The sequence below is a fragment of the Homo sapiens genome, chromosome 3, assembly GCF_000001405.40.
Source record: "Homo sapiens chromosome 3, GRCh38.p14 Primary Assembly".
Lineage (NCBI taxonomy): Eukaryota > Metazoa > Chordata > Mammalia > Primates > Hominidae > Homo > Homo sapiens.
Genome location: NC_000003.12, coordinates 114,702,303 through 114,717,112, shown reverse-complemented (window position 1 = coordinate 114,717,112; position 14,810 = coordinate 114,702,303). Strand labels below are relative to the sequence as shown.

Genomic DNA, 14,810 nt, shown 5'->3' with positions numbered 1-14,810 from the left:
AGGGTAAGTAACTGGCAAAACCACACAGTGTGCAGGCAGCAGAGGCAGAGGTCAACTTCAAGTTTTCAGAATCTAAGTAGAATATTCTTCCTACCATGTTCTGCTCTACATACACCTCCCCTGTAGCCTTTTGTTTTGTTTTGTTTTGTTTTGTTTATTCTCCTGGATCTTCAATGAATACCCCCCACTTTTTTTCATTTCTGGGCCAGGTTTCCATTATTTTCCCTTCTGTGCATTCCACTTTCCTCAGAACTTTCAGGTATGGCCACCCCTATAAATATTTTCATTTCTTCATAATACAGAACCAAGTGCATAAGGGTTGAAAATCTATATTAAGTTCATAGGAAAAACAATCCCACGCCAAAACATTTTGCCAGACTAGTAAAATTGCATTTCAAACAACCCATGAAAAATCAACGCTGTAACCACAATGGCCAGTGTTAGCAGTGGAAACCTTCTCATAATATCTTGTCATTTGGACTTACAAGCTTTTAAAACCAGAGAATGAAAAGGGAAGAGCAAAAAGGTAGGAGGCAAATATGGCAAAGGGGAAGTGGGAGAAGAGATGGCACAGGAGGGGTACAAGTGTTGCTTAGTGTAGACCCTGCAGACCAAAAATTATTGTGTTTCTAACACTATTGATTTTTTTCAGCAGCTGATATTTCAATCTGGGTGCAGTGTGTCTGTGAGTCTACGCACACTGTCAAGAAGAAATATGATAGTGTCTTAAAAGATTAATAATATCGCTGGTCCTCTGGAGGCCTGTCTTAATTCACTGGCCTGTTCCCTGGCATGTACTGTAATTTATCTAGTCTGATTTGAATAGCAAATGGCAATCGGCTGCCATTAGGGAAATGGGCATCATTCTTATTGATCCAGCATGGGCTGGATTTTATTTAAGGAGAACTGCAAAATGTTATTACCTTCAGGAGGAGAAACTGAAAACAGAGCTTTTCCCGTGTGTATTTCGGAAATGTTCTACCTTAAAAAGGGGGGAATGGATTGTGGATTTAGGAGAACGGAGAGAGATTATCATCCTGTTGTGTGAAAAGGGACATGTACAGGCTGTTTACAGCATAATTGTTTATCAGCAGGAAAGAATGCTCATGATTATAAGAGGCCACGGGCCTCAGAGGTTAGAACATTGGAAAGATAGTCTGACCTGTTCCAGTCCAACTTTGTGTAAAGCCTCTAGTTGCTCAGAATCCATTTGTCAGTCTGTAAAATGGGCTAAAAGAATCTGTTAGCAATGTGTAAGCTTTGTTTAGCATTTGTTTCACATCCTGGGAGTCTTGGATAAAGGATGTTATAGAATTAAAAACACACACACACAAAGATCTTATTTAATACTGTGCATGTTGTGGGGTAGTGTCCAGTATTTATTATTGCTCTTCATTCAGCATTCTGGAAGGGACAAGTTATGTGCTGAGTGAAGCAAGACGAAGTAACCTCATAATTCTCATTAACCATTACTATATCTCTCAGGTCAACGTTGCATATATTGACTTTAACGTTCACCTGTTGGGGACAGGTCTAAGCCTACACTTTTACCTTGTTTTACTGAATAAAGGAAAGCTGTCAGTGTTATTGTAGCAAATGTGGGAGACAGACTTGGGTCTTACTGCCTACCCCACACTCTCTTTGCTGCAAGAATAGGAGCTGAATGTACCATTTCTCTGAGCTTGATGCACATTTCCTGTGAAGGAGCGTGCACATACCTTATCCCTAACCTTCCTTAAAAGCCTCCCGGAGGGGAAAAAGGTATGACAAAGGTGGCTAGAGGAAGGGGCTCATTGCTACCGAAATTCTTCTTCATTCCACCTCGGGTTGTTAGGGAAAGAAACGATAATGTGCTACAGGAAATGGCCAAGTATAAAAGCAATAAAATAAATTGAAAATGACTTTGTTTTTTTGAGCGGCAGTAATTGCTATATGTTGTGATGTTTGCATAAGGAATTAGTTAATGTGTAGCAGAATGGCATGTGATACTTTTTATTTGCTTGATGACTATAGTCTCTGAGTGAATGACTTATTAAGGTTAATAAAGAAAAATTTGCTTGTGACTTGTAATGATCCAATTGCTAGAATTTAGCATCCCCTTATGCATTGTTGCCTAAAGGGGAGAAGGAAAAAAACCTACACACATTAATGGCCGACTGGCTATGATTTTTTATAGTGGTGTGAGAACAAAACAATGTCTTCTAAATTGTTGGTCTGTCTATCTTTCTGCCTGCCTGGGCAGGAACGTTATGGCTTTCTTAATTCTCCTGTGTGATTTATCATCCTAAATTCATTGTTTTGCATAACTCTGCTCAAAATGAAGAAATGTCATTATTTTGCAGCGAAAAAGTTGTCATTTGCATAATGCCTGCCATTAATTATTGTGAGACTAATGCAGTTGTTGATATTTTTAGGGCACAGTGGTACAGCCTGCACCTTGTATAATGTCATTCTGAAAACATTGGTAGTTAATAGGTGCCACAACATTGCACACATGGAAAAGAAGATGATGAAGAAGAAGGGGACACAATGGAACAGGCTGTGATCTTTATTTAGCTTTTTTTTTTTTTTCCTGAAATGCTTGGTGAGAGAAGACTATAAAAGGAAGCGAATAGAGCAGGAAGCTGTGACATCCAAGAGAACAAAGGGATTGAAAAGCAGAGGTTTTCTATTTAGGCTCAATTAGTGTAACCTGGGCTTCAGCCAGTTTAATGGAGGAAGTCATGTCTCCTGTGTTTTGGCTTACCTACGTAACCAAAGCCTTGAGCAGAATGTAGAGTTGGGCTTTTAAAACCATCAGTTAGAATAAGGTTTTGCCCTGAAGCATGTTCATCTCATGGAAGAATTCTCTTAGCTGGGCACTTGGCCAAAGTTAAGAGGACACACCATGGTTTCATGGAAGAAAAAGCTGAAGACTATGATTTTCAGATTTTGATTAATCACTTGTCTGTACTTCACTTATTTCAGTATTTCTGTCTAGGATGATAGCTTTCCTTTCCTGCAAAAAGCAGACGGATATAGTAGTAGTATATTAGAGTGACATTTTTTTCCTCTGTATTGTTTGCAGTAGGTCTAACTTTTGCATCTGATTCTTTAGGGAAAGCACCTACCAAGGCTTCCTATTACCTATTTCACAGGTAAGTGAAAGTCAGTTATAAAAATTCGATCAGAGATGAAACTCATTACACTGAGCCTGGGAGGCATAAATATTACAAATGTAGGTAACTGTTGATCTTTTTAGTCATGGGAGCTTAAAAAAATGGACACATCAAATAGAATTTTTTCTCCTAATTTCACTGTTTCGTGTATATTATAAATTTAGATATTTCTTTTTTATCATTAAATTTAAAAGACATAAAAGAAATGGAGCCTCAAAAGTAGGTCTAGTTACTGAGACTGACCAGAGATACTTAGAAAGAAGATATTACCCTTCAATGTTCAAAGCCTGGCATTGTAATCTCTTTGGAAAATGCAGTGTTTTTCAGACTCTAATCCAGATTCCAATGGCTATTCTGTGCCCAAAGACCAATTACTATTTTGGAGTTCTCTTAAAGCCAGATGATGCTTTGAGGGGGCCATCAGGACCTTAAGGAGACCACAGGGGACTGTCTCAGTTTGTCTTATAATAAATATCTCGGCAGAATTAGGGCTGGGATAGTTCTGTAGATCTTGCCTTACTTTTGGAGTTTAATCTTTATGTGTTCAGTTTTGGGATATGTAAAAAGCCGGCATTTTCAGCTAGGAAAATTTTAATTTCTGTGTTAGGAAATTTTAATTCTACGGGGAATTACCACACTTGGAGTTGTAAAAAACAGATGAGCTCATGCGTCAATTGAGACCCATCTGCATTGCTGCTACTCACTTTTCCTTTTCTTCTGAAGAAAATGAAATTGTCCTAACACCCCAAATTAATGTATTTGACTATAATAAAATCAATATAAGCATACGATATAAAAACATAAGAAGTCCAACATCGAGGGGAAATGAAGAGAAAATGAAACAAGGGATTTGCACTTCATATGGTATACTAGTACAGACTGATTAATTCTTAATCATCTTATAACCTAGTAATGCCTAGTTATCTATCATATATTCTACATGTACCTATAGATCCTACATATAGATACATCGGAATAGCTGATAACCAGCTTAGCAGGTTATACCATTATTAGGGTGACCAACTTGTCCTGACTAGCCTGGAGCTTTCTCTGTTTGAACACGGAAAAGCTCACATCCCTCCTCAGTCTTGGACAAACCAAGGCAATTAGTACTATAACCATGATGGATACTTGTAAGGCATACTGATTTAATAGTTACATTATATATTTTGTCACCTCTTCTATTGCTTATTATATTTGAAAAGGCTTTGATTTCGTGAACAAACTGCTATATCCTTTTATGTAGTGAACAAATTGAGCCCTTTAGTGAACAAACTGAACTCTTTTTTTTTTTTTTTTTCGAGATGGAGTTTCACTCTTGTTGCTCAGGCTGGAGTGCAATGGCACGATCTCGGCTCACCACAACCTCCGCCTCCCGGGTTCAAGGGATTCTCCTGCCTCAGCTTCCCGAGTAGCTGGGATTACAGGCATGCGCCACCACACCCGGCTAATTTTTTTTAATTTTTAGTAGAGATGAGGTTTCTCTGTGTTGGTCAGACTGGTCTCAAACTCCCGACCTCAGGTGATCAGCCCGCCTCAGCCTCCCAAAGTGCTGGGATTACAGGTGTGAGCCACCGCGCCCGGCCTGAACTCTTTTTTATAACATTAATTTTCTAAAGAATTTTATATAACTGTAAGAGAGGTTGAGTAAAGAAGTGTAGATTTTCATGCATTAAGTTTCTAGCACTTTGATCATGTATACTGTGGAAAATAGCAGTTTCATAGTAAATAATCACCTTCAACTCTGATCCCCTGTGTTCAGGAACTAAATTTAGAGCTCAAGTCTTATACAGAAACAGGGTAGAAATCCATATGTTAGCTGGCATGATTTTCATCACCTAACATCTGATAATCACGTCATACTGGCATTCTTTAATACTCACTGATCGCTGCCAGGACTTCTAACTTCTCTATCCTTTGCTTTGGAGTTTTTCTTCCTTTTACATCCAGCACTGTACTAAGAACTTGGGATACAAGATGGATAAGACATGGTCCTTCACGATGAGTTTTTCAGTCTAATCTATGAAGGAAAATTGCAAGAATGAATTTTATATAGCGCATCGTCAAAGCTTAGACATAGAAGAATAGCACTTAGAATGTTGTTTGCTTCATGGATTAGTTTGTTCATCTGTTTAATAAACATTTATTGAAGCTCTACTCTCTGCTCAGCAATGTTCTTGACATTGTGGATACAAAGATGAACTATACTTGGAACTTTCACAAAATAAATAGTATAAAAGTATAGCTCACTCCTCTCCAGATTGAGGGTTCATCAAGCATAAGATTGCCATGTCAGCATTTGATGCCAGTCTAACTTACCAGGACCAGTTGGGCTGGGAAAACGTCTCCTTTATAAACTCAGAGATACTATTTTTAGTTAACTATCTAATTTGACTTACTCCTCCCAAGAAGTTTATTATAAGACATGTGAGCTATTGCATGTAGGTGGTTTCCCAGACTGGCCTGTGCAGTCAGATGGAAAGAATAGAGGCCTCTGGGACAATCCAGAGAAGCCGCTGCACCATGCAGAATAAAGATTTCCTATTTAAAGTTTATGTGACTGGGATGAGATTTATAAGTACTGGAACACTTTATTCATCTACTTATTCATTCAGTCATTTAATAGCTATCAAGTACCTATAATGTTTCAGACATTGTTCTAATTACTGGGAATATAGTGAGAAATTAAACAAAGTTTCCTATGAAACTTATTTTATAGTGGAAGGAGAGACAGCCAATAATTATGTAAACAAAAAAAAATCATTTTAAATAATGATCAGATCTAGGAAGAAAATAATGCATAATAAGGAGGTAGAAAATAGGGATATATAATTTAGAAAGTGCTATTTGAAATAGGGTAAGTAGGAAAGGTCTCACCGAGTGGAAGATATTTGAGCAAATATTTAAATTATTAGAAGAACCTAAGCATGTGGTGACCAGCAGGAAGAACATTTTAGGGAAAGGGGATGGATATTGTAAAGACTTTGGAGTAGGAACAACTTGAAATTTTCCAGGAAGAGCAAGAAGAAATGTGTGGCTCAAGTGGACCAAAGTAAGAATGATCATGTAGATAAGTAGGGACCAGCTCACACAGGCCATGATAAAGACTGACAGAAAGCTATAGAGGATTTTTTTAAGCATGTATGATCTCATTTACATATTAAAAGAGTTCCAGGGCTACACTGTGGAGAACAGTCTACAGGGTCAGGGTGATACAGGAAGAGCATGTAGTAGTTATCATAGTAGCCCAGTTATGCAAAGGGCAATGGCAGTGGGGAGGGGATGAAAAGTGGTTCAACTCTGCATAACTTGAAGGTAGGGCTGACAAAAGTTGCTGAGGGTCTCAATGTGGTTTTACATGAGAGAGACATCAGGTGTGATGAATTTCAGGCATTTCACCCCAGCCACTGGATAAATGGCAATATCCCATGGAGTTGGGAGCTATAGGGGATATGGAGAAATGAGCAGATTTGGGAAAGAGATGATTATGAGTTAGTATTGGAGAATGTTGAATTTGAAATTCTTTTCCAAATAAAGAGATGTAGTAGGCAGTTGGATACATGAGACAGGAGTTCAGAGGAAGGATTAGGACTGGAGATTCAAACTCTGTTTTTATTTCTGCATATGTATTTTCTTTACAGCATAAGCCTACAGGGTACGAAGAATGAACTCTGAGAATGTTTGGAGGTAAATATACATGTCCCATATTATATGATGATGAACATGCAAGTACTGGTCTCAATTCAGTCTGCTATTTTTTAAAATTCCCTGATATACATTGCAAAGAGGTACCAACAAAACCATGTGAACACTTTCTAAGGGCACATATGGTTTATGATCATATTGAGTTGTAAGACAAACAAATTATTGTTTCATATTGATGTAAGAGTAGAAATAGGGGAAGACACAGATTCTGTAGTTTAATGTGTAGGAAAAATCAATGTGAATTCATAGGAAGGTGAAACTCTAACCCATTGTTGGAATTAGTGAAGATTTAAACAGGTAGTAAGGAGCAGTCAGGGCATTCAAGATATAAAGTCATAAGTAGATTGTACAAAGACATAAACTAGCTTTCTCTTTATGACGGAGCAAGGATGGAGAACAAGGACACCGGTCTAGCATCAGCAGAGTGTATATGTTTGTGAAGTTAAGGGAGATGAATTTATAAAAGTTGGCTAGAGCTAAGGGATTTGAACTTCCCCAGTAGCCCATTGGTTCTCACCTCTAGTATAATTCAGAATCACATTTGGAGCTTTCAATGAAGATGCCTGGATATTACTTCTGGAAGTCCTGATTATAGGTTATGGAAAGGCCCTAGCACTTGTATTTTCAACAGGCAGCCTATTCCAGAACATTTGCCCCTCCTAAAGCTGTGGTTATTTACTAGAATTAATAGTCCTGTGTGAGTAGCATGTACTGGATTGATAGGTAGAGTTGTCTCTCCCTGCACCAGGTGCTCATGGATCTTTACTCCAGTTCATTCTTAAGTGTCATGGCTCGGATTTTCTCCACATCTCTGCCTAAATTTTCAGCCTTTCTCTGTTTTATAACTTGGAACTACCTTGGCCTTTTAAGGCTTCCTTCATTTTCTTTCTATTTGTGGTCTCTTGCACAATTACCTATGGTCAATTGTGGGTGTAGGGGTGAGTAAGAACCATGAGAGGGGTGGTGTCTCTTACAAAGAACTGTGAGAATGAGAAGAACTATGAAACTGTTCTGCTGCAGGCCTAAATAATATAACTAATTAATACTATGGAGGCTGAATTGAAAGCAAAATATAGGACTTAAAGAGAAATTGGTATTTTTTCTAAGCAGGAACCTAAGATTAAAACCACAGATTTAATAAGATTTTTTATTTGTTTAATTGGTAGGGTATCTTTTATAACTACATAGTCCCAAATACTTAAGATTTTAGAATGCAACACATACATCTATAAAAACAGGAGAAGGAAGACTTCTAGAGACAAAAGAGTGCCTACAGAGGGTCACTTTTAGGCCTTTAGAGAAGGAAGGTTGGTATAGATGAATATTTTAAGTAATATTTTACTATGAAATAAATGTGCTTTTATTATGGAAAAGTTCAAATAAACAAAAATTATTTATAATTTCTCTACCCAGAAACAAGCACTTCTAGTGTTTTCTGGTCTTTTTGCACTTTGTGTGTACACAACTATCACTTCTTAAACAATATTTAAGTTAACAATATTTAACTTAGCAATATTTACTTAAACAATATATTTTCCTGTACATATATTGTTGGTTATATGCCTTTTCACTTAACAGTATTCCAAAAACATTTCTTCATGTAATTAAGTGGTATCTAAAATATGATTTCTTAAACTGCATAGTATTTAAGTCTAGGAATGTACTGTCATTTATTTAATCAACTCTCTATTGTCAGACAAGGTTACCAGTCTTTCACAATTATAAATAATGCCATGGTAAACATTCTTGCTTCTAAATCTTTGTGTAGATCTTTGAGTAATTCCTTTAGATACATTCCTAGAGGTGAGATTTCTGGGTCAACAGTCTTCATATATTTTTTAAATTTTTGATGCATATTGCTAAGATGCCCTCCAGAGCATTTTGCCAGTTTTATTTTTTCGGTGGTAACATCTTAAAGTTTTCTTCCAAAAGTGATTTGATTCAAAGCCATGCTGTTGCTTTTCTCTGAGTCCTTTCTGGTCCACCAGTTATAGCAGACTTAATTTAACTCTTACCTTAAGGTTAACACTTAGAGTAACCAAAACATTTTTGTAGTCATTTATGCTGCAAATGAGACAGTTTACAGAATATAAATTGACAGTGAGATTAGATTGCGTTTCTTTCTTATGCATGTTCTGTACAAGCATTCTGCTTATCCTGGATAACAAACAAATAACAAAAAGAAAGAAAAAACCTTACCTCTCTTGCTTGTCCTAACTGAACACTCACAATGCATTAGGCATTGAACTGAACGTGGAGGAGATATGATTCCTGCTTTCTGAGACTTTGCAATTCCAAGTACCATGATTGATAAGGTACAATATAAATAGTGGGCTTCTAGGACAATGCCCTGTGGTTAAAAGTAATTAAGTTATATGGTGCCAGCAGACTACAGGATACTTGTGATCCACATATGCAGGTGGATTGTGTGCATCAGTCATGATATCTGTGGAATCTGAGAGACGGGAAAGGCATACCTGTTTTAACTCCAGAATAATATAGAGAACTCAAATTCCTGCCCAGGCAAATAGGGATAAGTTGTAGACTGCAAATAGAAGATGGATTGTGGGGAGGAAAAAAAAATCTACTAGTTCCCGCTTCTTCCACTGTGTCCCCTCCAGGGGACACTCATAGGTCAGGGTCCTTCATGTGGTAGCTTTGAGTTCCCGACATTTTCAAAACTGTTCTAGGGAAAGGGTCGGGCATGTATATGAAGACTATTTTCTTGTGAGCACAATGGGAGAATATTTGAAACTGGGACTCTTGTGAAAAATCAGAAAGGTTGCCAGTGTACCTGGGCCTTCCTATTGTCTTGAAGTACTGTGGTGGACTTTGTCATGCTTAAAGGAGGTGTGATTGGGGGTAGGGAATTGCTTGACTGAGAATTAAAGAGTGAGAGCTCCTGTCCAGTTGCTTAAACTGAAAAGGATTTCTGACACATATTTGGTTAGCAAAAATGACTGTGAGTTAGTGGGACAATTGTAGCACTGATGTAAAAATTCCAAATAGTCCTTCCGAATAGATATACACACATTTAGAAAATGCATTATAAATGACATATAGCAAAAATGTAAACAAGCCATTTAATAACATTTTAATGCTTGATTCTGATCTCTTAATTAAAATGTGCATAAAAGAAAACAATGGTGGAACATCTGTGTGTGTTATTGGGATAGCAGGATTTATGCTGCACCCTGGGCTTTTTGTTCGCTTTTCAGTGTGTGTGAATGTGGGTGGGTTTCCTCTTTGAGCCACAGTTACCCATTTGACCCCCACAGGGTCTATATTCCCACCCACCTTCTCTTGGCTGTAGTTGCACCCCCTTTTTTTCCCCTCTTACTTAAAATACTGTATGGTTTGTTCTTTGCTTAAATTAAACTACTCTCGTCATTTGATCTGAAAGCCACTCTTCACCCCACCCCTCTAACCTGAAACCGTGACCTAACCCTGACTCACCCTTGTTATCTCAGCAGATGTACACAGCATTACCTAATGTTTTGGCCTCAGTGAATAATCTCAAAGAGCTTTGGGGAAAGTGTGGCCTTTTGTATCTGTGACCTTGCAGCAGTTATTCCTTAGCTGGACACTGTGGGATTTAGATGTTAAAAACAGACTTTCTACTAACCCCTGCTGGTGATTTCTTTATTATTATTACTGATTTGGAGGATGTATCTCTGAACCCCATTTTGCCCAACTGTTAAATGAGAGTGCCAGCAATCACAAAAAGTCAAGGGTTATTAAGTGCTTTAAAATCGTCCACTGAAAATGTTACACTGTGATATGCTTTTATTTCCACTTTTACATGGAACACATGTGATCACCAAAAAGTTTGTCTTTGATTAAAAAAGCATAAAAAGTACCTCACATCTTCTGTTACTCCCAGCAGATTTATGTATCATTAATACAAGAGAAAGTCACACACAAATAGACTTCTTAAATATACAATAATTAATATTTAATGCCCCCTTTTATGAGGGGGTCTTTGTGCTGGGATGTCTCTAATCTTCACAACGTTCCTGCAAAATAGGTGGTTTTATTCTTTATTCCACAGGTGATGAAAATGAGGTTTCAGAATCATTTAAGTGATGTGCCTACAGCTTTATTGTTAATAAATGGAAAACCTGGGATTCAAACTCAAGTCTGTCTCTCTCTCTCTCTCTCTTTCTCTACATCATATTCTTCCTATAATATCATGACCTATATGGGAGTATGGTAGCTCCCATTTCCTATAGACCGTGGCTAGATGGTGTTATGAAAGAGTTAAGTAAAATGTGCCATTTGTGACAAATGTCTGAAAGTTGTTTTTATAACTAGGATTTAATTCACAAATGAAGAGTAATTATCAATATGGCACAGATGAAGAGCTGCATGTATGGATCAGTATAATTTCTGTTCTTTGGCTTATGGATGCAGTATGCCCCAGGGAGTTTCACAAATCCACATGACATCTCCCAGTGCTGGGTTCTGGGTTAGCTGGCCAAAGTGTAAAATTCCTCCGTGTTCGGATGGCTCACAACTGGTTACTATCTGAAGAGATTTGTATAAAACTACCTACCATACGTAGACTTAGTTTCTTTTCTGAATTTGTCTCTAACACTTGAGTGGGGAAAAAAATACCAAATTTTGATACTGGGTTTGTTGTTTTTAATGGGTGTTTGTTTTTGGAAGTGTTGTGCCAAGAGAGGAAGAAGAAGTGGGTGTGGGTCTTTCTTCCTTTTGCTATTTTCCCTTTGCCTTCTTGTGGTCTTATTTCCAATCTGATTCTATATTATCAGTTTGCCATAATCCTTTGCAAAAGACATAAAATGTTCATAGACTGGAAGTTATTAAGGCTTTAAATCACATCACACTATCATTGGAGTAATTTTGGGGGGGAATTTTGCATATTTCAGTTCTCTAGTATAGGGCATGTGCTGCATACTAGGGATGTAACTTATACCTGCTCTACTTCCCTTTATTTTTTTTCCTCAGGCTGAGAGAACCTTTAAACTTGTTATGTGTTCTGAAACAGATCAAATATTAGATTTCTAAGACTATCAGGCTGTGGTGGTGAGGGAAGGGTTAGTATTATATACAAATATGTATTAGGGAAGGCATCATAGTTAAGTGAGAAAAACATGGGTCTTGAGTATTATGGGAGCTCAGCCCTTTTCCTTACTAGCTGTGTAGCTTTGAGTGAGTTATTTAATTCACTAAACTAAGATTTTGAATAATAATACCTACTATATAGAGATATTTTACAGATTAAATGGTATAGTACATATAGAATATTTAGAACAGTGCCTGACCCTGAGTGAATGTTGTTTGTTTACATTTCACACAGCAAGAAAAGGGAAAAATGGGAAAGAGTGGCAATTAGAAAATAATGATATTGGGTTTGAAAAAATTGTTTTCATCCTTTCAATTCAGCATAGTAGTAGAAAGAGCATTTGTCTAGCAGGCAGAGACTTGGGTAAAACTTCCAGCTCTGCCTCCAGAAAGCTGTAAAATCTTTGCTGTTCACCTTAGTATCTCAGACTCCTCATTGCGAAAATGAGAGAGTTAGAATTCATTATCTTGATTTAGTCATATACTTTTGCCTTCAGAAGATTTTTCTGCTTCTCAGAGTAGTCTATGACATATCATTCAACAGTGTATAAGTCTCAAAGGCCAACAGCCAAGTATGGCAGACAGGGCTGTTGTTAAGATATTCTTTTTCCTGTGTAACTATGTTTACATGTTCATTTATGTTCTTTGTATATTTGTCATGTGCCTGAATATTTATGCACCTGCATGGTTGTTGAAGTAAGCTCACTAGCATACATTCATACATTTTTGTGGGTATGTGTGTTTATATATAACCTATATATATATATACAGTATGTGTGTATATATATAAATATATGTCTGTGTGTATGAGAAACAGATGCACTGTAGGCAGATAAAGCAGATAAATATAGATCCAAATAGAAGCATAAGCATATAAATATAGACGTTATATAGAGTGAAAGCAAGCAGATCAGCACCATTTCATTATTGCTTGAAGTCTTTGTAATAAAAGAGTTAGAAATCAGTAACTGACATTGAAATTATTGACTGAATGACACTGTCATATCAGAAGGCTCAGTGTGAGGTAAGAAAATAACCTTTCTTTCAACTTTGAGGAGAAATTAGCAGGAAGATTTATTACTGTTAATTATTTGATTTAGGAAAGTTTTTAGGTGCTGTGTAGTGTTGTGTTTTTAAAAGTACAGAAATGTCACCACTCCTAAAAATACTGCCATACAACAAAAAATAAATAAGAAAAGAATATCTATTCCAGTCTTGCAAAAAGATTTGGCAAATGTGACACCTGGATCCCTTTCGTCCACAGGCTGTGATTTGCAACTCTTGCCTATTTCTACATATAGACAAATGAGTTGGTTTCGTTCTACAGTATTTTCTACAAGCCCCTCTGAAGTCTTTAAGGAAACTCACCTAAAGGAGATATCTCAGGCTAAAGTGACCATTGTTAAGTTATTGTCATGGGGACACTTGCAATTGTCTTTAGTGAGTGTGTTGTGTGAGTAAAACTGGGCTTCCATCTGTTACTTTCATATCACTGTCTGTTTTTACCAGTCAAAATAATTGGTTGTGAGTTTTTGCTTTATTTTATTTTGTTTTAGTGAGAAGGGTATTGTGAGTTATTTTTAGCTAGCTAATTTACTTTTTAATGTTGCAAGTTATATCTTGCTCATGTGTTTGAATGCTATTTGAATAAAAAAAAAGTAGTCCCTCCATTTTCCCTCTCTAAACCTCATCTATTTCCCTAGCAGATCTTATCTCCCCTTCAGCTTGTTGTAGGAACATTCAAAGAAGCTAAAATTTGAAGAAATTCCTTGAAATGTACAAATACAAAGCCTGCTTTTTCCCAGTACCACAAAACTGCCAAAGTTGTTGCAATTGCTTTTTCTGTCATTAGTCTACCATTGCTTTTCCTTACAGGGATGAGAGAAGAGGGACCAGAATACGTGTTCCTCCTAACTTCTGCTCCAAATCAGAGTTTAGACTAGAGGAAAAAAAGGAGGGAAGGGCGAAGCAATAAAGACTTATTGAATGTTAAGGAATGAATTGGTGCTTCCTGAAGAACTGTTCATTCTTCTTCTCTCAAATCTGGCTTCAGTTACTTTGTTGTTAAGTTCTTCACCAAATTATGATTTTAAAATATTTTTAAAGAATGACTCAGTGGTCTTGAGGATCACACACACACTCTCTCTAACACACACACACACACACAAATTTGTGTAAGATTCATTTAAAAAATTGCATTGTTTGAATAAAATGGAGTATACTTTTCAATTTATAAATTATTTTGAACGAATACTTAATGTAATGTGTAAAGTTGGCATACTCTACAGTGTTTCAGACTACAGATTCTTTTTTAAATTCTGTTATTTACCTGATGAGCTCTAAGGTTAACTTGAACAAGTATTTATTTATTCAAGAGTATTATAGTATATCTACATAAAACGATTCAGCAAAGATTTTAGAAAAATAATCACTTGCCAAAATAACATAGTAAAAGTCCTTTATCTTTACATACACACACACACACACACACACACAATTTAGACTAAAGCACTATGTCCCATTTAGCTTAAAAAATGTTTTAGGATTAGATTTCTGAGGGAAGTATGTACATACACATACTCCTCTTTTCTTGTTCTTTGTTTCCTTTTCTCCTGGTGTAACATATTTACTGTTTAGCTTTTGTCAAATACTTTATAATAATTACCAGAAATTTTGACAAAGACAAAAAAATTCATCTGTGTATGTGTATATTTATAGGTTTATATGCACATAGACACACACACACAAACACACACATCCAGATTGAAATGTTAATGTTGTATTAATCATCTGATTTTTGGGGGTGGAGGGTTTGAGACAGGGTCTCGTTCTCTCGCTCAGACTGGAGTGCAGTAGCAC

At 36.8% G+C, this 14,810-nt stretch overlaps 1 protein-coding gene across 15 annotated transcripts in view, besides 1 other annotated feature; it reads left to right on the top strand.

Moving 5' to 3' along the window:
* ZBTB20 (zinc finger and BTB domain containing 20) overlaps positions 1-14,810 on the top strand; it is an 832,789-nt gene that overhangs the window by 430,176 nt on the left and 387,803 nt on the right. For 2 of the 15 annotated variants that reach the window (NM_001164344.4, NM_001393395.1), the window contains exon 2: positions 6,800-6,845. The exons of 11 other annotated variants lie outside the window; for them this stretch is intronic. The gene's annotated coding sequence lies outside the window, so the exon portion shown is untranslated. Of the gene's footprint in view, positions 1-3,097; positions 3,138-6,799; positions 6,846-14,810 lie in introns of all 15 variants that reach the window. 2 more of the 15 variants (NM_001348801.3, NM_001164343.2) reach the window with 2 other exon arrangements.
* Positions 545-2,776: an enhancer, noted in NCBI's record as "VISTA enhancer hs253". NCBI's record gives its function as "enhancer in: somite[6/8]" and the evidence as "EXISTENCE:transgenic organism evidence [ECO:0001131][PMID:17130149]".